This window comes from Homo sapiens, chromosome 14, assembly GCF_000001405.40.
Source record: "Homo sapiens chromosome 14, GRCh38.p14 Primary Assembly".
In the NCBI taxonomy this organism is placed as follows: Eukaryota; Metazoa; Chordata; class Mammalia; order Primates; family Hominidae; genus Homo; species Homo sapiens.
This window is the reverse complement of record NC_000014.9, coordinates 36,793,960-36,818,127: the sequence shown is the minus strand read 5'-3', so window position 1 is coordinate 36,818,127 and position 24,168 is coordinate 36,793,960. Positions and strand designations below refer to the sequence as shown.

The window sequence follows — 24,168 nt, the reverse complement described above, 5'->3', positions numbered from 1 at the left end:
TTTCTAAACAATAGTTTTTGTGTATGGTAATCATCTATTTGCACATCTCTTTCACTTTACTGAAAGCTTCTACAAGGCAGGGCTTTTTCTTATTTCTTTGTAAGCCCCCAAATAGTAGAGTGTATAATAAATAGTTGTATTCAAGAACTCTTATTAACTGAATGAACAATAGATTGGAAATATTATCTATTTGGTTCTACAAAGAGAAAAAGAAATTGCAACTAGTGAGTGAAGTGCCTAGACTTGTGAAATCATCATACTCTGTATACACGTTTGCACAAGCTGTCAGAAAACCCACCTGGGAATTACCTGAGCATGCAGACATCATAGGCAAAGCTGAGGTCTCTGACCACAGAAGGGAAGGAAAGGCTAAGGCTGAATATCTAGACATAGGACGTGCTTGCCTGGCCCATCTGCTGACTTGTTCACAGGCCCATCTGGAACCAGGGCCATGCAATTGTGCAATGGCCATCCTGAGGTAGCCGAAGTGCTGAGCTGAGCAGCAGAAAAGGTCAAGTGCTTTATACTGGGCTTTGACTTCAGCTCCTGTATACCTTCTACCAAACCACTTCAGGTCTCCATGCACCCTGAGCAACCAAGTGCCTGCAGCAAGCAGAGTACTGTAACATTTTCCCAAAGGAAACGGGGTAGGCGGCTGTGGTGTTCGCTTCCCCATTAGAAAGGACAGCTTTCCCTCACTGGCCATTGTTCTTGTCATCTCCCCACCTGAAATGCTTCCTCCTGATTTACTCTCTGACTCCCAGGAGGAGTCAGCTCAGATCCTTCTCTTCCCTGAAACCCTTGCTGAACTTCTGCAGAAAGCAGTAATTGCTCCCCTCGTGAACACCTGGACGACCCAGTGCCGATGCTACTTCACATTTTGCATATTTCCTCTTATATAGGTTTTTTTTTCATATTTCTTTCTTGTGCTTCTTGAGGTTGAAGGTAATACCCTGGGTTTTTGTAAAACCTGTAGCATCTTAAATCATATGGAACACATTAAGAAAATATTTGGTAATTTGGGAAAATGCATCTAGAAAGAAATTTGCTGAGATAAATGAACTTAATTAAAGCTTATTACGGATATTATGAAAAGCATCTATGCTTATATAATACTTTCATAATATATAAAACTATTTTGAATATTTTTTTAAAGAACAGTTAGAGAAGAGTCTTGGTTTTTCCCACTAGATGTAAGAAAGGATTTTATACTCTACAATGAATATAGGTTACAAATATGCAAATACAGAAATGAAGATTCTTATTTGAACTGAACCAAAGTCGTATTTTGGAAATTGCTCTGTATGTTTCAAAGTGATTTGTTGTCTAGGGGTAGTGGCTCATGCCTGCAATCCCAGCACTTTGGGAGACCGAGGCGGGAGGATTGCTTGAGCCCAGAAGTTCCATACCAGCCTGGGCAAGAAGGGGAGACGCCACCTCTACAGAAAAAAATTTTAAAAATTAGCTAGGCATGATGGTGCATGCCTGTAGTCCCAGCTCGGGAGGCTGAGGTGGGAAGATCCCTTGAGGTTGAGCCTAGGAGTTTGAAGATGCAATGAGCTGTGATGGCACCACTGCACTCCACCCTGGGGACAGAGCAAGACCCTGTCTCAAAAAAAAAAAAAAAAAAGAGGAGAATATGTTAAATGTGTCATTTTTAAAAATTAAGGAGAAAAAGGACTACCCAACAAGCTTGCCCCTTTCGTTGTATTCCTGTCACCTTTATTTATATTCTAGCACCATTATTTCTCACCCAGTCTATTGTATCTCCTTCCTAACTGTTCTCCCTGCCATACTCCCTTTCTAATCCATCCAGTTGGTCAATAGATACTCATTTAGAGATTTTTATTGCAAAGAACTCTGCTGGAAGACTGAACTCCCACTTCTCTGAACAGTACTGTTCACAAAATTCTTCACAGTACTGTTCAGTACTTCTTCACAAACACATCTAGCAACTTTCCACTTTACAAAACTAAATGTAATTCCAGCCTTGCTTTGCTTTTCAGTATTATACCACACTCACTCTGCCCATATGCCCAACTGCTTCAGTCAAAGCAGTACACTCATTCTTCTGTCTGATATGTGTCAGTTTGTAGCATAATTCTGTGAGGCCTAGAACTATAAAATATATTATTTCTAGAAGTAGACGTTGCGTTCATATCATCAAGCCAACAATCTAAGAAAAGCATTTTTGAACTAAATAATATCAGAAGTGTTTTGAAAAGTTCTTTTTAAAAAGCAGGTAAAATTGTGGAGGGAATTCCCTCCCACAGAAGGAACAAGAGCCCTAACTTACAACAGGAACAATAAAGTAAAGCACAAGGAATAGGCAGGGTAAAGAACCCAAAGTATAGAAAACAACTCAGGTACGGGAGAAATGAGAGTACTTGTTATAAACCTCTTTAGAAACAAACTCCAGAGCAAATACAAAACAAAAAGATAAGACCCTAGTACTGGAAACTTCCACATTTGGAGGGCTAAGAGTTCAGGGATGCATGATCATATGCAAAAAGAAGAAAAAAGAACTTACCTTTCAAAAATGGGACACATGTTTATTGAGCTCTAATTATATGCAGGGCACTATGCTTCTGTGAAGATCCGGGTAGCCTGAACTACCCAGAATGATCAACCTTGTTCCATCACCGAGTAGCGATAGTAAACTGTAGAGTAATACAACCTCAATATACAACCCCACCTCTTGCTTCAAATGCAGACTCCTGCCTGCCAGAATGAATTCCAAATTTACAATCAGGATTAATATTAGGCCCTATTAGCTACTCTGTATTTTTTTTTTTTACTTTAAGTTCCAGGATACATATGCAGAACGTGCAGATTTGTTGCATAGGTACACGTGCACCATGGTGGTTTGCTGCACCTATCAACCCGTCTTACAGGTTTTAAGCCCCACATTCATTAGTTATTTGTCCTAATGCTTTCTCTCCCCTTTCCCCACAGCCGCCAACTGGCCCTGGTGTGTGATGTTTTCCTCCCTGTGTCCATGTGTTCTCGTTGTTCAACTCCCACTTATGAGTGAGAACATGCAGTGTTTGGTTTTCTGTTCCTGTGTTAGTTTGCTGAGAATGATGGCTTCCAGCTTAATCCGTGTCCCTGCAAAGGACGTGAACTCATTCTTTTTTATTGCTGCATAGTATTCCATGGTGTATATGTGCCACATTTTCTTAATCCAGTCTATCATTGATGGGCATTTGGGTTGGTTCCAAGTCTTTGCTATTGTAAATAGTGCTGCAATAAACACACAAGTGCATGTGTCTTTATAGTAGAATGATTTCTAATCCTTTGGGTATATACCCGGTAATGGGATTGCTGGGTCAAATGGTATTTCTGGTTCTAGATCCTTGAGGAATCGCCACACTGTCTTCCACAATGGTTGAACTAATTTACACTCCCACCAACAGTGTAAAAGCGTTCCTATTTCTCCACAGTCTCGCCAGCATCTGTTGTTTGCTGACTTTTTATTAGTTGCCATTCTAAGTAGCATAAAATGGTATCTCATTGTGGTTTTGATTTGCATTTCTCTATTGACTAGTGATGATGAGGATTTTTTCATGTTTGTTGGCCGCTTAAATGTCTTCTTTTGAGAAGTGTCTGTTCGTATCCTTTGCCCACTTTTTGATGGGGTTGTTTGGTATTTTCTTGTAAATTTGTTTCAGTTCCTTGTAGATTCTGAATATTAGTCAGGCTACTCTGTATTTTTAACCTTCATACTAAATTGCCATCAAGGAAGACTTATAAGAAATAGCACTACTGACTTTTTTCATATGCATCTTCAGAATTCTGAATTCTACATTAAAACAATCTACGATATCTGTGTATGCTCTTCACAAAAGGAAAAAGCACAAATGCCTCAGGGCAAATCTGCCTGGCTAAGAAATAGATGAAAATACATTTTTTTTCTATAGATTTCATTAAATTACAGAGAAATGTAATTTTAAAGACTATGAAAATAAGGTAAAGATTATATAAGGCTAATAAATGAATAAAATCCATACCAAAGCAGAATATTCTAGATTAATCTGAAAAGCTGAGTTTCTAAGACTTTAAAAAATGAGAAAAGCCATTTGGCAAAATCTTTAACTTAGAATTTTTGGTTTGATTTTGCTTCTAGGTTTCAGATTCAGAGATGTGCAACCGATCCAAACAGTTATAAAAGCTTGGTAGACAGCTTTCGAATGATTTTCCAAATGGAAGGGTATGTATATTCTTCATATAGCCATTTTAATATGTTTCTACTTAACATGTTTTCTCATTTCGAATGGTTTATTTTCCTAGTCTTACTAGGGGCAAAATACTTAAAAGGGTACCTTTCTACTTTGTTATGTTTTTCCTAATAATGTGATTGAAAACTGGATATATATATAATGGAAACTACCACAAGAAGATATTAATAACTAGTTTAATGACTAGAGGACAAATCTTAATTTATGCCACTAGGGCTGTTTAAAGTTTCTGTAACTGAGGCTATCTAAACTCAATAGTTCTTTATTTTGGTACTGTAATACAATGTCCAAATTCATTCCCCGTTCACACTCTAGTTTATGAATATACAAATAAAACAGATCTGTATCAAAAATTGATGCATCAAGGCTGGGAGCAGTGACTCACACCTGTAGTTCCAGCTGCTTGGGAGGCTTAGGTGGGAGGATTGCTTGAGCCTGAGAGGTGGAAGTTGCAGTGAGTTAGGATTGCGCCACTGCACTCCGGCCTGGGTGACAGCAAGACTGTCTTTAAGAAAAAAAAAAATTGATGCGTCCGATTAATTATCTGATCTATTAAATGATCAAATAAATAGAATATTTGTTTACATAGGCTAAAATTATCTTCAATGTGTAGATTCAGTTAAAAACCATATCCAGTAAACATATGTGTGCGTGTGTCTGTTGGAAGCGAGGGGCTAGGGGAGGGATAGCATTAGGAGAAATACCTAATGTAGATGACTGGCTGATGGGTGCAGCAAACCACCATGGCATGTGTAACAAACCTGCACGTTCTGCACATGTATGCTAGAATTTGAAGTATAATAAAAAAAATTTTTTTAACTATCCAGTATAATTTTTCAAAGAATATTATATTTGCTTTTGGAAATTGTTTTTATAAGAAAATTCATTGAAAATAATAATCTTTCAAAAATGTAACAGTAATAATAATTAGTATATATTTAGCTTCTATTATGTAGTAGGGATTCTTCTTACAACTTTATGATGTAGGTTCTGTTGGGTTCCATTCCAGTTGGACAGATAAAGAAGACTCAGAGAAGTTAGTAAGTTTCACATTTCTGGTGAGTAGTGGAGCTGGGAATCAAATCTAGGTCTGCTTGACCCTAAAGCCCACGCTCTTAACTGCTGTAGATCACTACCTGTCTTGCCAGGTTGCACTATAAATACTATTCTGCTAATCATTTATTTCAGTTAAACTTGTATTATGGGTATCTTTCCATGCCAGTATATTCTCTTTAACAACATAGTAATTTATTTTATCTATATGTTGCAATTTATTAAATTAATCTCTATGGTAGACCTTTAGGTTGCTTCCAAATTCTTGCTATTATAAACAATAGTGCAATAAATATTTTCATACTATCTTTGCACATTTGTGTGTATCTATATATTTTAATATATAGTATATATTGATATATATTTACATAACTTTTATATATTTTTATAGTTTTAATATATTGGTACAGTAAAGTACATTGCTAGCTATGGACTTACAGGATCAAATGATATGCATGTTTTCTATAACAGATGTTGACAAACTTACCTTCCAAAAAGTATGTACTGATTTTATACCCTTAAGATTTGAAAGTTCTTATTTCTTCACACACTCTCAAATACATTATAAATCATTATTTGATATATCTGTCACTGACATGTATCTCCTGTTTACCATCTGACAGATGAAAAACACAACTGTCCTAAGTGTATTCCTTTGAATGTTACTGGAATTGAGCATACTTTCATATCATTAGGTATCATTTCTTTTGTGAATTGCCTATTTTGTGTCCTTTACCCATTTCTCTTAGATTAGATTTTTTAATTTGTAGGTACTTATTATGTATTATAGATACTAATCCTTTGACTATTATGTAGGTTGTAAACAATTTTTCCAACTTGTCATTTGTCTTACAACTATAGTGTCTTATACCTTTCAGAAATTTGTGATTTTTAAAGATTTTGATTTTGTATTATCTATCTTTTCCATCCTGATATCTAATGATGTCACATTAAAAAAAATTCTCTAACCCCAAGATTATAAACATTTCTTCTGGTAGTTTTTTACATTACAATTTTTAATCCAGCTGATAATTTTTTAATGTGCAGTGTGGTATATAGAAATTAAATTTCATTTTGAAATGGTCAGTCAGTTGTCCAAACACCACTTGCTGAAAAATCTATCCTTTACTCACTAATTGGAAATGCTGCCTTTTTTTGTTTTGTTTTGCTTTGGGGGTTTTTTTTGAGACGGACTCTCACTCTGTTACGCAGGCTGGAGTGCAATGGCACAATCTCTGCTCACTGCAACCTCTGCCTCCTGGATTCAAGCAATTCTCCTGCCTTAGCCTCCCAAAATAGCTGGGATTACAGGTGCCCACCACCACACCTGGCTAGTTATTTTATTTTTAGTAGAGACGGGGCCTCACCGTGTTGGCCAGGCTGGTCTCAAACTCCTGACCTCAAGTGATCCACCCTCCTCGGCCTCCCAAAGTGCTAGGATTACAGGTGTGAGCCACCACACCCAGCCAATGCTGCTGCCTTTTTCACATATTAAACTTCTACACATATACCCTCTAATTTTCCATTTTGATTCTCCATTTCCTATTCTGTTCCACTCATTCATCTATCTGTAGCTATATCAGCATCATACTGTTTTAATTATTTTATCTTCAGAGTATTTGGGAAATATATAAAAATATACCTCATGGTATGGAGTTCAAGCTTCTTGTCATGGTGTGCAGAGCTTTTGTGGCATGATCCTTCTTCACACTCAGATCTGCTCTAGGAATAGCAGATGGTTTGCCACACTCTGGTCTCTCACATGCTCAGGGCTTTTCCATGCTCTTCCTTATTCCTGAAGGACCCTATCCCCAAACCTCCCCTAGAAACTATCCCTCTTCATTTAAAAGTGACTTCATATTTCACCCTCCCTGACCCTCTTTTCTCTATCATATGCTGAATTATTTCCCCCACTCTTTTCTCTATCATATGCTGAATTATTTCCCCCACTCTTTTCTTTCTCTACATATGCTGTATAAAATATAGCACGCACCATCCTGGTTTGTGAAGCTCATTTTCTATCTCCCCTTTCCCATCCCAAGAATATATTTCCTAAGGGTCATGTCCCAATTAGCTCTGTATTCCTTATACTTGTGTCTGGCACTGAGTAGAGACACTCAGTAAGTATGCTAAACAAATGAATGGAAGTCATCACACCAACATCATAATGATGCAAAATGAAACAGAGATGATAACTCTTCTATAGACTAACCTCTCTGAAGTTATGATAATGATCTTGATGCTTGATTAAATATTTTGAGGTCACCTAGTGACAAAAGTCAACAAGTTCTTAGCTATTACTCTGGTGATGTGGTACCTAAATGCCCTACGTTGATAATATAAACCTTTATATTATGACAAGAAAGTTAAGAAAATCATAGTTTATTACATAGCCAATGAAAGTATCCCTTTCCTGCAAAACAGTAATGTCAGCATTACTGAGATCTGTAAGCTGTAACAGATATCCCTGAATTGAACGTGGCAGTTCCTTAGCCAAGATCTTCAATTCATGTGTGTTTTGGGAAGAATTTGATGTTTCTGCTTCTGCTTTGATATCAAATAATATAACAAACATACAGTATGTGTGGTCCTTACATAGTGGAATTGGCCTTTTTCTATACTGTATGTATAATTGCTTCTAGAGCAAATTGACATTCTTCCTGTGATGCCTTTAGATCTGGACATGCTGTTAGCCAAAAGCCAAAGAGCTCTAGTCTTAGAGATGGAAATATTTTTTAAAATACAAAATAAAAAGCTCCCTGTTATTTTTTATACAGAGCAAGAGCATTTCATAGCCCTGGGTTAAACGAAAGAAAAAACAAAAAAAGAAACGAAAGAGAAGAAAAGAAGACAAAAGCCTTTTAACACATGTTGTGTTAATTTTTTTCCCTAGTTAAAGAAGTTCTTTTGACTTTCTTATTTAGTTTTTAGAGTCACTCCGTTTTCAAAGATGTCTTTCCTACTCAGGTGCATAGAGGCCAGTTTGGCCTGTGGCCTGCAGGGAAGATAGCACTAGTCAATTTTGACTGTTGACATAATTAGGAGAATTCGCCTCTCCTGGTTTTTCCTATCTCCTCTAAGTTAAAGGTTTTGAGAGCTTGTCCTTTTCTTTTATTTAAAAACATTAAAGTCTGTTAATACACTTAAAATCTGCACAGATCTCCCATTTCCCCAGCATTAAGAAAATGAAATGGTTCTCTCCACCATTCTTAGAGATGCAATTCCTCACCTCTCTGCTCAGAATTCACTTGCTTTCAAGAGACAATAGCTCAACCACATGAGTCCAAATCCCTTTACTGTTTCTAACATTTTTTTCTTCTTAAAAAGCGTAAATACATTGTACTTTTTAATAAAAACCATGTCTTATGAAAGACATGGCTTTTCAACACAGCTTTACAGAAGTGAGATTAAAGCTTAAAAAGAGAGGCATTCCAAACTCCAAGTAAGGATTTCTATTATATGGAATCCTCATACTTAGCTAGTTTTTACAAAAGACACTGTTTTCTGTAACACAGAAGAGAGAACTCATAGAAAATGAAGCAGTAAAGAAATATCACTGTTGAGAGTACCTTCATCATCACCACAACTTTTCATCTGTGTCTGGTTTGACAGAAATAAATAGGTCCATCTACTGTAATAAAGTGAGCCCAGAAGACATAAAGATACAGCCTAGTTAATTAGCTGCCTTTAAAACCAATAGCGTTGGTTTTGTAAACTCACCTGGCAAACAGTGGCAGATATCTCTATTTACCATGTGTCCATGCATCACGCCTCACTTCCCCTTTATCTCAGAGCATCTTATGAAAGTTGGCCTAGTCTCTTTTGTACTTGTTATTCCTTTAAAAAGAGTGATTGAAATGTTCACAGGTGGGTGAGGGGACTATACATTATGTCGTTGTAAACCCAGAACAGTCTTCCCATCTACCACTCTGCCTCCTCTGAAAGTGCTTGAATGGCCATTCTTCCTGAAATAAGGCAAAAATAGGAGTTAAACAGAACTCAAGATACTCTGGTGATGTAGGTAGAGAAAGACATAAAACTAATATTTATTTTCTTCAGTGTACCATGAACTATGCTAGAATTTTTTTGCATAAATTTTTATCAACACAGCACTATTAACACAACATAGAATCCTCATGCCCATGTTTTGTATAAGGTAACTGAAGTTAAATAACTTACCCAAAGCCACGCAGGTATAACCATGGTTTCTCCGTTAGACTGTATTTGATCTTCCACTGAGGATCAAATTTTGTTATTTATTGGCTGGAAAGAAGATAATATGGAAATAATGGCTGTGAATGGCTAATCTTTAAATGGCTATTCTGAAGTCTTTGATATTCCTAGCCTCAAATCACACAGCGACTTAAAGCAGCTTTATATCCTCCTTCAAGTAATGTATGAAAGCTCTGAGACTAGTATATGTTCAGTCAAGCAAATCTTGGTGATTCTGAGGCAGCACTACAAAGCTCTGGCAACTCAAGACTCAATCTAATCATTGCCCCATCCTTTATAATTAGCTCTGTATTTCTGATAAGTTCATGGTTTTCAGTCAGTCGATTTTCATCCTGTTTGTTCCTTAGCTCTCTTATGTGAAAAATTCTTGGGCATTGGTTTGCTCAAGGCAAATAACTAGGAAACAACTAGGTCAGATTAAGCTTAGCTTCAAATGAGAAACATGTTGATTGCTGGTGCCTTCAGAAATATGGTATTCTTCAGAAAGTATTGCTGTAGAAAATATGTGGTTGCATTTGGGGGGCATTTGAACTGTGTTTAGTTTCACGATTTGTTTTCTGTAACCACTGATGCTGCCCCAGGTATCATCTTACAATCAGACCACTTGGTGATTATAATATTTTCTAGTTAAATGACATTTAAGGCCTCGTTTTATGAGCTCGAGCATAATTGGCTAATTTGGTAAACTCCAGATGTGTGAGATAATGTGCCACTCATTTAAGTGCCTTTCAGACGGCACAAATGGCACAGCCCCAGGAGGTATACTCACTCCCTCTTGTTTTCATTAAGAAGGGGAATGAGTGGCTTGTGACACAGACAAAGGAAGTGTGATGCCCACAGCTCTACAACTTAGTAAGATTTGGACATTTTCTTTTTATCAGTGGACTCCAAGGTGTTTGGCTCAATTCAGTGTCTTAGTGGGTCTACTTTTCAAAAAGTGGTTTACCTAGTCTAACATGGCTGGGTGGTTTTAAAGCCATGAAAATAGGCTGTCTGAAAATAGAAAGACCTGTCCCTGTAGAAAACCCCCTGAGCAAAGTAGTCTCTGGAAACCGTCCCTCACCCTCATGTGGAAGTGTGGGTGGGGGGATATTGGTTTGAAGAAACAATGGAAGAGCTGACTCTTCCCACAGCCATGAATCTAATTATTTGACCAATCATCATCCTCCTCCTAAACTTCCAACTTAACAAAATTCCAACTTCATGAAGCCCAGTAGTTGCTGCTGCTTTTTCTCTCCCCTCTCAACTCTCCTGCACCATCTAACAGAGACCAATTCATCCACCCAGCATTGCCAAGCTGGAATGCAGTGAATGGTTCTGACATCACTGTTGCCTGATCCTGGGGCTGGTTGCTTTTATCAGACTACAGATCCGGTGGAGTTCACATCTGGCTGAGTCTTCGCTCAGATGAGATCTACATCTCAGACCCCTGAGCAGATAATCTGCCATGCAGATTCATTTTGTGTCGATTATTGGGTGTTGATTGAGTTTGTAAGCCTGGTTTGCCCAAGTTCCTTTTATGGTAGGCACCAAATGTGCACTGTGACTTCTGTGATGAGTTCCGTGAGTGGTGCCTTGACTGCCTTCACTCCCCTTCTTTTTGTTTTAGCAAAGAGGCCCTTCCTGGTACCCACTGGACCTCCCTCGAGTGCTCCCTTGTTTTTATGTGGTGATGACAAGGAAAGCAGAGAGTCCCAGCCGCTCTTGCTCCCACACTGCCAGAGTTCAGCCATGGCCTGCCTGGGCTTTTTAATGATGTTGCAGCAAGTTTCCTCTTTAGCTAGAAAAAAAGGGGTTGGGGGTTGGGGGACAAGAAAAAAGTAATAGAATAAGTTAGAATTTGGAGAATAAACTATAGCAAATTTATCTGGCATGCCTTAAAAGCAATGGACCTAGGTCTAGAATATGGCTTCCATAGGCTGAAGACATTTTCTTCTTCCAAGTCTTCTCCTGATTTGGAAAGAAAATGTGAGAAGAGATTATCTTAATTCAGGCATGGACATACTACTATTATTCTTAAATAATCTGTGTTTCTTTTAAAAATGGTTTGTTAACTTTAGTATATCATACTCATACATTTTAATTGATTTTTTAAATTGACATAGTTGTACAGATTTATGGGGTATGTAGGGACACTTCAATACATGCAATGTATGGTGATGAAATCAAAGTAATTAACAGATCCATCACCTCAAACATTTATCATTTCTTGTATTAGAAACATTAAACATCTCTCCTAGCTATCTGAAAGTATAGAATATATTATTGTTAGCTATAGTCATCCTACAGTGCTATGGAGCACTAGAATTTTTCATCCCACTTAGCTGTAATTTTGTGCCCATTAACCCACCTCTTTTTTTAAAAATAAAATAAAATAAAAGTAAAAATAAATAAAAAAAGCTCTCTCACCCAGGCTGGAGTGCAGTGGCACAATCTCAGCTCACTGCAACCTCCACCCCCACCCCCACCCCGGTTCAAGCAATTCTCCTGCCTCAGAGTAGCTGGCATTACAGGTGGCCGCCACCACACTCAGCTAATTTTTTATATCTTTAGTAGAGACAGGATTTCACTATGTTGGCCAAGCTGGTCTCAAACTCCTGACCTCAAATGATCCATCTGTCTCGGCCTCCCAAAGTGCTGGGATTACAGGTGTGAGCTACTGCACCCAGCCCTTTAATCCACCTCTAACCGTTCTCCCCTTCTCACTACATTTCCCAGCCTCTAGTAACCATTATTCTACTCTGTGCTTCTATTAGATCAACTTTTTTAGCTTCCACATATGAATATTCATAAATTTTTAGTCATCAAGTATATGTAATCTCTTTTTACAGAAACATTATGCTATGTAGCTAAGAACTTTAAATTTAGATTATTTAGCAATTCAAGTTTGAAAATTAAAGGATGAAGGGTAAGGAGAAAGAATACCGAAGAAGAACAGGCAGTGACTTATTTCAATAGTTTTAAAAACAACAGGCAGTTGGACCATGGATACATTATTTGGCATTTCTATCTTACCAGATTATTCTGTACCACTGCTAAGCCACACAGTTGCTGGCAGAAGCTGTACTGGGTTGTAAAGTAACAGTTCCTCCCCAGTCTTCACAATCAGGGAGCAGATGATGAATTTGCAGAGTGCTCAGAGGGCGGCATCCCAGGGCTTCAATGGCCCAGAGTTCTGTTTCCTTTTCTAAATCAGAGGTCTTTTGTTCTGCCACAGAGTGACCTTTAAAATGGTTTCAGCACCTAGATCTCCCTGCTGTCATCACCACAGACTGCTAGCTGACACTCACACTCCGACTCCCCCAGCCTCTCTCTCACAACACTTTCCGACTTACTGACTGGCCTTTGGCAAGGATTTAACTGTTGCCAAAGAGTAAGTGAAAACGTTTGCAGTGATGTCAGCCCGTCAGCAAGGCCTGATTAAGAGACCAAACACAGCCTCCCTCAGCGTGTGGTGCTGACAAGAAGGCAAGGAGGACCAGTTGTTTGAGTGGAAATTGTTGTCTTCTAGGAGGGTTGGTGTCTCAATTCAGAGCCTGAGCAGATATTCCCCATGTTTGTGGAGTGTTAATCAAGGTGGAGGGGAAAGGTGGGATTCCATAGCCAATGGGGGATATCCCACTGGAAATATTTTTAGGCCTTACTTTTAATTTATTCTGGCCTTCTTATGGGCTAGAAGTACAGTCACATTACAGAGAAAGTATGGCTTTACCAAAACCAAAATTCTTTTTCTAGTGGTCGTTAAAACCGAACATTTTCAAATCAAATGGAAAAAGAGAACTTCCTAAAAGCACTCTTCTACCCATACCTGATTATCTTATTGTAGAAAAAAACTTAGGCATGATTTGACGTAGACAAGGTTAAAAGAGTTCATAGTTTATTTTCATCAATGACTTCATGAATTTTTGGGCTGGTTTCATGATTTTAGCTTTGCCTTTCCCGCTGGTCTTCCAGGTGGTTTGGAATTGGAGGAAGGGAGAAGATTCTGACAGTATTGTTATGATGGTCATTAGATTCAAAACCACTGTTACCATTCTGGTCCTTTATCGTTTGTGAAACGTGTCCATGTATATGACCTCCTTGATACTCATAAGAGCCCTAGCAGGTAGGAGGATGAGGAGTACAGTTCTAGTTTTCTGGTGAAGAAACAAGTAAGGGTTGTTAAGGGACTTGCCCAACATTCCACAGCTGTATTTGTTGGGGCTGGGATTCATCCAGTGTCTTCCTCATCTTTTAATATGCTGCCTATTTTGTCAATAACAAAAGAGTGGTACTAGCAATCACAGAAGCAGCACCTCACATTTACACCATTCCCTCTTTGGGTTCAAAGCCTTGTACATATCTCATCTCAGTTGGCTGAATTTCATCTAGGGAAGAAGGAAAGGGATGGCATGACTGCTGACAACTTTTCTGGTCTATGTACAAGAAAACTTCAGCAGAAAGGGGTTTAGTGGGATCCCCAGAAAAATTGATCTTGATATCAATACTCAAAGAATGCAGAGGTTTAGTTTGTTTGTTTGTTTGTTTAAAAAAGGTCTTAGGCAAATGAAATTAGATTACACATGTCTTCTGACATGTGGCACCATCATTCTATGAGACCAAGGTTTGGACCTGTGGTCCTTAGGACAGAATCATCTCCAAAGAGTAGTTACCAGACACAGTGTGAGGTTAAGACTCACTGAGTGAACTTAACTCGGTTATTTCACCTGTTAGAGTCTTGGCCTAACTGAAGTTGAATTTAGTAATAACCAGGAAAACCTCATGAAACATGAAATAAGGCATTTAACCAACGTTCCTTGGATGAATTGTCAGATGGGAGTGAAGAAGCATCATATGATCACAATGTATGTAAAGATATAGTCACCTAATCCTAGAGAAAATGCCAGCCTTATACAGTGGCTTGGTTTTCCTGCTGATAAACAGCTCATTGTGTGGAACTCAGAGGAAAACAAGATACCAAAAAATCTAACATAGTCACAGTCTCAGTGATGACAAAAAATGAGATAAAGTGTTAGATACATTTTGGAAACTCTTAAAGAGAGGTTGTGAGTTTATTGTTAAATGAATTAGTTTTTTAAATTTTTTTTACATAAAACCTCTCCTATATTAGAAGAATCAAGAACCAAAAGGAGAAGTACCATTTTGTATTCTATACATTTTCAGTGAACAGGTCAACATACATTTTGAAATTCAAATAATAAAATTTCCAGAGATTGACACTATTTGTAAAGGAATCAAAATTAAAAGAATGTTGCAATATAACTCATTAAGCAATAAGACATATTGATAACTAGAGACCTGGCTTCATGTGTAAAATAAAATATGTGTTACATTTCAAAAATGTTTCTTAACTACCTGTTTACCCCTTAACCCCATGAACTGGCTCTGTCTACAACCCTGTTTTCAAACTGTTCTCCCAGAGCCTGCCACAGACCTTCTATCTTTTTCCACAGAATCTGAGATACTGACAAGTGTAAGGTAAGATATTACTTCATTAGAGAGAAAAAATGCTGATAATTAAACTCTTTACAATGATTTGACAATGGATGTGGGTGATGAGTAAGAAGAAATTTCAATAACTTTCTAGTGTTTGGCATTCCAGAGGCACCTAGCTAAGCAATGCACAGGTTCCTGATCCATAGATATTATATGATGATAAAATTTTGCCAGTAAGTGTTGGAAAAATTTTTACCCTCTGGTTTGAATGTTTCAGGCTTTATCTCACCCACTATCATTACATGCCTCTTATGTTCCAGCCCTTCTGGCACAATTATAACTCCTGAAACAATTTGTCTGTGCATATTTCTCACACATATTCATTAGCCAAGAATGTCCTTTCCCTTTTATCCACCTGTGGAAATTCCGGTCATCCAAAGATGCCCAGCTCGTATGCTGTTTTCTCTTTGATGCCTTCCCTCATCATCCAAAGGGGAAATAATTTCCTCCTTCTGTTCTCTTATAGCACTTTGTTCCTCTGTAACAACACTTACCTTGGGGTTCAAAGAGACCTGGATTAGAATTCCACTTGGAAGTTTTGGGACCTTGGACAAATTATTTAACCTCATTGTACTTCAGTTTTCTCATTTGTAATATGGAGACAATAACCATACTTATTTTATTGTGTTGCTAGCACTCAGTATTAATATATGGAATATAAATATACACATAATGATTGTTAGCTAGTTTTATTTTTAGTACCTTATATTGTAGCCAATTACTCGTAACTATTCATAGTTATGTAAATATGTAGAACTCTGATGAAATAATATTTGGGGCTCCTATAGTGTATCACATAGTTCTTTGTATATAATCATATATAATCATCACCCAATTTGTGTTTGCTGAATTTAATTGAATAATTACTAGTTTCATATACTTAGCTATTCTGGACATATTAATATTTAAAAATGTATAATCAAATCAAAACAGATAGTAAGAAAATTTACGACACCCATGGTATCATTAAGACCAAGATTCTAAACATGATAATTTATCTATAACCCCAGAAGGGTAACATCTTTATAACAATCTCAGGAATACAATAGAATAATTTTCATGGCCACGCAGGTGTCTGAAGGTGAGGCATTAAATTTTGGCATGTAGTTTTTAGATTCGGGCACTTCGCCGCTGGCAAATGATGCTGAATGGCACTGAGAGGGTCTAATTAGGGAAACTGTGAAGGCTTAGGAAGACCAAAGTGAAATACAAACTGTCTGCTTCCATGCTTTGAATGTGTTCTGTCTTCACTACTGTTCTCCTTAAAGCACTTCCTGTCTAGAGTTTAATAAGCAGAGGGACAAAAACTGTGTACATAAAACCCAAATACTCCAGTCGATTAAAAAATGAAATAAGTAAAAGCAAAAGAACATTTAAAGTGAAATAAGAGGCAGTTTGAGTTAGGATTTTGAAAGACAATATTATAGAGACTCTTGGTTTCAGACACCACAGAGTAGCTTGCATCAGGAGAACCCTCCTGCTGAAAATAACAGTAAACAATAGGCAAAATACACAAAACTACTTTTGAAGGCATTGTAGAGCTACGGCAGAACTGATGAGAGGCTACAAGACCTGAGGGAAGGAAGCGTAGAGAAGTAAGTTCCACATTCACCCAGGATTTTTACTTAAAGGCTTTGCTAAGTCTTGTGGGAAGTGTTGGGGGAAAGAGTCAAAGCCACGTCTGGGCTGAGGAGGGAGTTGTAGGTTGGTGTTCAGGGATGCCAAATGGCTGAGACCTGAGGAGTAAAGATCCTGGTGAAGAGGGAAATTGCTGAGAAGAGAGCCCAAAGATCTATATGCAATTTCCCCTTGAGGCATTTGCCAACTCTTGAGCCACATATGAGCAGGAGGAAACTCCAAGAAACCTAGGGGGAAAAACTCCAGCAGTTGGAAAGCTATCGAGATGAGCAGAGACTTCAGTAGCCCCTTGAGGCTGAGGAGGCAAGGGTTGGAGTTCAAGTCCAGCCAGGTGGAAGGGCTCTGTAAGCACCCCAGGTCTTCAGTTGAGGCCCAGAATGTCCACTCCCAAGAGTGAGAGCTCTGCCTCAGGAATAGGGACAAAGCATAAGTAAATTCTCCCTAACGAAGCCTAAAACCCACCCTCAGCAAAATGAAGGTATTTTCTGTAATCTGTTTGCTTGCTGAGAAAAAAATGTTTCCATCTTTGGAGGAAAACACCATCATCCAGGGGCTTTTCAATGTTTATGCACAGTGTCCTCTACTCAATAAAAAGTTACAGGGCCTTAGAATAAAAAAGACAAACTAACTAAACATCAAGAGAAGCAGAGACAATAAGTCATTCAAATTTTGGAATTATCAGACTGGGACTTTAATTTTTTTTTATTTTTACTTGGGTAAAATATACATAACATAAAATTTACCTTTTTAAGCATTTTTTAAGCATACAGTTCAGTGGCCCTAAGTAAAGTCAATGTCGTGCAACCATCAACACTGCATCTTCAGAACTTTTCATCTTCTCAAACAGAAAATCTGTACCCTTAAACAGTAATTCCCCATTTCTCCCTCCCCACAGCCCCTGATAACCTCCATTCTATGTTCAGTCTCCATGAGTTTGACTACTCTAGGTATCTCATGTAAGTGGAATCATACAATATTTGTTCTTTTGTGACTGACTGGTTTATTTCACTTAACATAATGTACCTTCAAGGTTCATCTGTATTGTAGCATGCATCATCATTTCCTTCCTTTTTAAGACTGAATAATATCCCATTATATGTATGTACCACATTTTGTTTATCCATTCATATCCAGGTGTCAGTGGACCCTTGGGCTGCCTCCACCTTTTGGCTCTTGGGAGTAATGCTGCTATGAACACTGGTGGACAAATATCTGTTGAAGTCTCTGCTTTCAGTTCTTTGGTGTATATACCCAGAAGTGAGATTGCTAGAGCATATGATAATTCTATGTTTAACAGAGAATGACTTTTTTAAAAAAGCTATGAGAATTATGTTCAAAAAACTAGAAGATGGAAAATTTCACCAGAGACTTGAGATCTGCAAAAACAAAATTTAAAAAAAAGAATTCAAATGGAAATCCTGAAAATGTCAAATTGGTGCAAAAGTAATAGCAGTTTTTGCCATTAAAAGTATGACTTTCAATGTTTTATCCTTCTAGTGTTCGCTGGTAGGTACTCAATATTGTACTTAGTTAATCAAGTTATTTGAGGAATAATAATACTACATATATTTTTGGTTTGAGAAATAACATTTTTAAAAATTTATTTTAAGCAACTAAAACAATAACTTACCAGGTGCTGAGTGCTTTGCTAAGTGCTCTCATTTAGTCCTCAGAACAATCCTATAGGGAAAGAACTACAATTTTTCCTATTTTATTGATGAGTCAGACAAGGTCAAAATGTTTGTGTAACTTGTCCAATTTCTCATAGGTTGTAGGAATTTTAACCCAGGTAACATGGGTCCAGATATTAACCTCTATTTTAAAAGATAAACTTAAAAAAACATAAATTCTTCTTTTTTCACTAAGTGGCTACTTTACAGCTTTAGAAAATAAATGGAAAACTGAGAAACCAAATTGGTTGGTGACATCAGTTAGGGCACTAAACTATTCTTATAATATGACCTTTACATTTTTTCAAATGTTTCTTCAGGATGCCGGGGCACTACTTGATATATTTTGGCATGGGCTCTGTCATGCATGTTTGACATATGAGAAACACCACCATGGTGAATAGAATGTTCCATCTTTCTCCTTAAACTCCAAATTGCTCGGGGCCACAAGATACAAACCATGGGTTTAAGTTTGACACCCTCAATTTCCTTCTTTCATGTTTGTGGATCTCATTCTCAGAATGCTGGCATTTTACCTTTCTACATCCTTGTCTTCACTCCTTCCTCTACCCCATCATCTGTCTTAAATGTTTAATCTTTTTGCTACACCTCCTCAGAGCATGATGGCTTTTGATGGCCATCTCTCCTCCAGTGATGGGGCATTCTTGGGGAAATCCATTTTCTTTCAGCCTTGGCAGGGAAGATCATACATTTATTGTATAGAACAAAGGGAGTATTCATTCAGACCTGAAGATTCCCAATATATTTGCCTTTAGCTCTCTTGTCCTCAAACTCTTTATTCACCCAGGTTACATTTCTAAGTCCCTCATATCCTATTTTAATCTCGTTTGTTTAATCAATTTCTCTTTCTCTCTCTCTCTGTCTCTCTCTCTCTCTTTCTCTCCCTATTAGAAGAAAAAGAGCTGCTCATTTCAGACAGAAAATTAAAATGAACACCTCCTTTTGTAATGCTGGACAATCCCATTATTAAATATTTCTTAATCTCTCTGGTGTGAGACATAGTTCCCTGAAGTGTACAAAGTGTTTTGATATAGAAGGAGATGAAGGGCAAACAACATTATTCCAGCTACAAAAAGATATCGGCATCTTTTCTGTATTGATGTCATTTTCTTTACCAGCCTTCTAAGAATACTTATGACCCAGCAAGCAAACGGTATTTAGTGACTGCCCATGTGTACACAGTCCTCTGTTAGGCAGCATACCAGTTACATTAAAAAAAAAAAACCCAGCTCTGGCCTTCTAAACACTTAATTCTGCAATAAAACGACTGTATGAGCAAAAATGAGTGTTTCAGTCACATGATTCTATTAGCCTTTGTGGAAAAAATCCTTCTGAAAGCAACTGCAAAAATGTTAGAGATGTGACCAGTTGGAAAATACATTTGCATTTCCAATACCTACAGGTTTCTTCACACTTCTTATATAACCATTCTCAATTACAGGAAAAAACCCACCAAAACTATGAAGGGACTTTCCAGACAGAAATAAACTGTCCCCATAGGAAATAAAATCTTCAAAGTGTCCCTTTCATTGAACTTGTTTTTCTTCCTAGAACAAATGGATACATCAGACATAAAATTTTACAGAGACACTAAAGTAGGGGTCTGGCTTACCTGAATAGGAGAGGTTACAGCATTCCACTAAGAGGACACCAAGGCGCTAACAACGCACAGACTACTTTCTATCACATTTTATTGAACTTCTAATCACCATCGACTATATGAACCATCATTTATTTAGGATTTCAACAGCCTCCAGTTAAACTCTATTTTACATTTCTTTTTCTGTGTGTTTGTTTTAATTTAAAAGCCAGTATACATATTGACAATTCTTTGACAGCAAAGGTAAAACCACCAGGAGTATATCTGTTTATTGAGGACTGACAGCTTTATAGCTAACATAAAAATAATCTAATGTTTATTGGGGCAAATGTTTGGACTGAGGATTAAGTGAAACTACTGAATAGAGAAAACCTTTTCATCCTATTCAGGCTTTTCAAATAAGGTTTGGGATCAACTACATAAAAACTTTTTGTGTTGATTTCTTTAATGCTCTTCCCTTAATTTGTCCCACTACTCACTCCCTTCCACTCTGCTACCGCAAATTAGGTTTCACAGCAAGGGTTTTAAAGTAAGTAAAACCTTGAAAAGGAAGATGCTACTGTTCAGAGATTCATTGCTATAGAATTTACATGGGCCATATGAACTTTCTAGATAAGAGCAAAGCAAAATCTAAAGCATACTGCTTATAATATAAACTTTTTCTGCTGTTTCATGTAGCTTACATGTAAGAAGAGCTCTTGAATTTTTTTGTTTGTTTTGCTGCTTTTTAAAAAATTCATTATTAGAGATGAGAAGCAGAACTTATTTTAAACTCTTCTGAAACTGGTTTTAAGGAGTCTTAAGGAGCCTTTTTTTCTTCTCTTTTGCCTTCAGCCACATATCAACAGCATTAGATTGTTGTCTTTATTTTGAATGTCATGTTTGAAAGGTCTTAAAAAATCTGATCTTTCTATGAATGGAAAATTACTTGTTTGAAAAGAGTTAATCCAACTATGAGATTAAAAATAACTAATCAAACTATTGTTAGATTAACAATGCTTGACTTTAATATTTTGAAATTTGATGTTAGTTATAATTACCACTAATATTTCTTTTCCTAACATCTTTCCTCCAATAAACAAAGAATTTTATACTCATCTAACACATCTTAGCAAGGTTCAGATCAGCTATTGCTACTTCTCACTTTCCCACACTCCTCCACCTTAACCCATCTCCTGATCCTATGTCCACTGAGTAAAATAGATAGAAGGAAAAAAGTAAGCAGCTTGTTAAAGGCCGCTAAGGAGTGGTTGCAGAGTTAGAAATGGAAGCCAGGCTTACTCGCTGAGTCCAGCTCCCTGAGGCAGTTAAGTAAAGTGCATTGGCTCTTTCCCTTTGAAAAGTCTGTTTATCTTCCGACAAAGCCGACGTGTGAACATTTGAATAGCTCAGTTTTCAATTTCATCACTGGAACTAAGTGTCCACATGGATCTTGGCAGGTTTTTGTGACAGTGTGCTGCGTGTCATACATGTGAATAGACCAAACAGGGTCTGGAAATGTCAGAATCTTGCCGCCACTGAGAGGTAGTCTTAGCAAGGAATTTTATACCAGGTGTGCATCTAAGGCTAATTCACACTTTCCTGGAAGGCAAGTAGTGAGCTCCCCAAGGTCAGGATCCTATTGTACACATCTTGGTGTCCCTGGGATCTGATGGAGCGCCTGAGTCCTAGATGGAATTCAACAAAAGTTTGTTGAACTAAACTATATTAAAATGTTCAACTCTGTTTAAAGATAGATTTGGTACTTTTTAAAAAAAAAGAAAGAGAGAGAAAGAAAGAAAGAGAAAGAAAGAGAAAGAGAGAAATAAATAAATAAATAAATAAATAAATTACCATACTGTCTTTTTTATTTACTGAAGTGGAAAATGTGATCTATTCCTCAATAGATTTAACTTATTCTTAATTCCTTTCTGCATCATGTTCATGGTGGTGATGATTGCCTGCATTTTAAGGCACTATAATGCTTTGACATGCAGAGATTGCCAGTAAATTGTCAATTATGTTATCTATGGCATTTTCATTCTCTTCCTAGAACATCAATCTGTTAGCTCTTCTTAGAGACTTGTGGGCCCTTTTTCTGATTTCCACTGTGCAACATTTCATTTTCTTAACAAATGAAGTAAGACATTTCATCTCTCAATCAGACACCATGGTTGTCCTTTATCACGTTTCCCATGACTTTGATGAGCTGGAACAACTCCTTGGCATTTAGGTTATTCTTGTTCTGAGGTGGTTACATATATGCTGTGTTGCATCTGAACTCTAAACTTCCTCTACCCGCAATCCTCTTGCCTCTTGCAAGCTAGTCTGCATGAGCTGCCTGTTACTTTTCAGGCACAGCTTAGAGTACTGATATGGTTCTCCAATTCGTACTATGGGTTTGGTTCCTGCTTCCTTAGGGGTTGTGACAGGAGTCTCAGCCTGACAAATAATCAGCTCCCACCTGTCCTTGTAAGGAAGGATGACTTATTTAAGGCATGTGAGTAATACTGCACAGACGCTTCACAGATCCACACTGTCCATCATGGATCCACAGTAGCCCCAGTATTAGAAAAAGCCCTTTCTCAGCCTTGGGCTTCTGTGACTAAAAGTCTAGAAGTTATGAACAACCTTTTATAAATCCATCCTTCCTTTAAAACTAAACACAAAAATGTCAAGCAACACATGTCTAAGTGATTGACATTTTATTTTACACTTTCTGCAAGCTGTATGGACCTTTGTTGGTATCTGTTAGGCAAGAAGAATGGTACTGCTAGGTATGCTACATTCTCATCTCAAACAAGCTGGACTTCAGAAGTCAGCCTAAAGAATCATGTGGTACAACAAACCTCTGCCCTGAGCAACATGATGATCAGAGTGGACTGGTTTACTTGTAACTTGAAATTGACCAAAGGAGCTACTTTACTTATGATCCCTAAGACCTTAATAACGAAGTTAAAATCATTTTTCTAATGCTGTATACCTTTCAGTAGCATTTTAAAATCATATTCTAATTTTGATTTTTAAAGAGAAATGTTCTCTAAAGCCTCCATAACAAAAAGAGCAATTTATATAGACTTTCTTTTAACAGTATCTTTAAGGTTATTATAAGGTCTATACTCTTATTAGGGTGGTCTGGGAATTCCCTCATTTCCCCTTAATTGAGAAAGTCATAATAAATAAAGTTTTTACTAGCATGGTCTAGTGGCCACCAAGTCGTAAAAGCATAGCAAATGATAAAAATGCATGTAGTAAAATCCATAAATTAATCCTGTCAGTAAAATTTCAATTATTTGAAATTTATGAGATTTTAATTAATATTTTTACTTTCGAATCAATTTCATATATGCCCTGAGCCATTAACACAAACAACCCTTTAATTTTTATTCCTTGGAGAAGAGTCTTATTTACTAGGATTTTTTTTTTTTTTTTAAATGGAGTCTTGCTCTGTCACCCAGGCTGGAGTGCAGTGGTGTGATCTCAGCTCACTGCAACCTCTGCCTCCCAGATTCAAGCGATTCTCCTGTCTCAGTCTCCCAAGTAGCTGGTATTACAGGCATGCGCCACCCACACCTGGCTAATTTTTGTGTTTTTGGTGGAGACAGGGTTTGACCATGTTGGTCAGGCTGGTCTCAAACTCCTGACCTCAGGTGATCCGCCCACCTTGGCCTCCCAACGTGCTGGGCTTACAGGCATGAGCCACCACTCCCAGCTTGGGATGTTTATATATATATCATCAATAAGCAGCTGTACAATAAAATGTTTGATGCATTACATAGTCATATTTTCTAATCCTGTTTCAGTCTGAAACAGCATTTACATATTGGTGGTGTGTCTATTAAAAGACTCATTGAAATTCATGTTATTAAAACTTTAAATAAAGTGAGAGTTAATTTTTCCCCTTCTTTTGAGGAAATAAAAACACTCCTGGAGAGAACTGAAAAAATGAACATCACTAACTAGGAAACAGCTTCTTACTCATTTCTGCTCCCTTGTTGGCACTGTGTACATCTGCCTCTGATCATATGTGTTCATTGCCTGCATGGTACTTTACCTACACTAGCCTGGGCCACAGACCTTTATCTATGCAAGTGCCTTATTGCTTGCTGATTGACAAATTCATCTCTGTTAACTATGTATTTTCCATTGAATTTTCCTATGAATATTATTCATATTCACTTTCCAAGTCTGTATTCTTTTCATAGCCCAATAAAATAAATGTGTTTTATGAACTTCTTTG

The 24,168-nt window shown here is 37.4% G+C and overlaps 1 protein-coding gene across 5 annotated transcripts in view, besides 2 other annotated features; it reads left to right on the top strand.

Moving 5' to 3' along the window:
• SLC25A21 (solute carrier family 25 member 21) overlaps positions 1-24,168 on the top strand; it is a 494,686-nt gene that overhangs the window by 354,479 nt on the left and 116,039 nt on the right. For 3 of the 5 annotated variants that reach the window (NM_001171170.2, NM_030631.4, XM_011537288.4), the window contains exon 3: positions 4,127-4,210. The exons of 1 other annotated variant lie outside the window; for it this stretch is intronic. In NM_001171170.2, coding sequence (NP_001164641.1) covers positions 4,127-4,210 — 84 coding nt within the window. Of the gene's footprint in view, positions 1-4,126; positions 4,211-24,168 lie in introns of those variants that run through there. One more of the 5 variants, XM_011537289.4, reaches the window with a different exon arrangement.
• Positions 12,438-12,939: an enhancer, noted in NCBI's record as "NANOG hESC enhancer chr14:37274394-37274895 (GRCh37/hg19 assembly coordinates)". NCBI's record gives its function as "activates a minimal SCP1, AML or CMV promoter by ChIP-STARR-seq in primed H9 embryonic stem cells {active_cell/tissue: H9 hESC(primed)}" and the evidence as "EXISTENCE:reporter gene assay evidence [ECO:0000049][PMID:30033119]".
• Positions 15,012-16,211: an enhancer, noted in NCBI's record as "P300/CBP strongly-dependent group 1 enhancer chr14:37271122-37272321 (GRCh37/hg19 assembly coordinates)". NCBI's record gives its function as "activates an origin of replication core promoter dependent on BRD2, BRD4, P300/CBP, MED14 and CDK7 cofactors, with strong dependence on P300/CBP, by STARR-seq in HCT116 cells {active_cell/tissue: HCT116}" and the evidence as "EXISTENCE:reporter gene assay evidence [ECO:0000049][PMID:35650434]".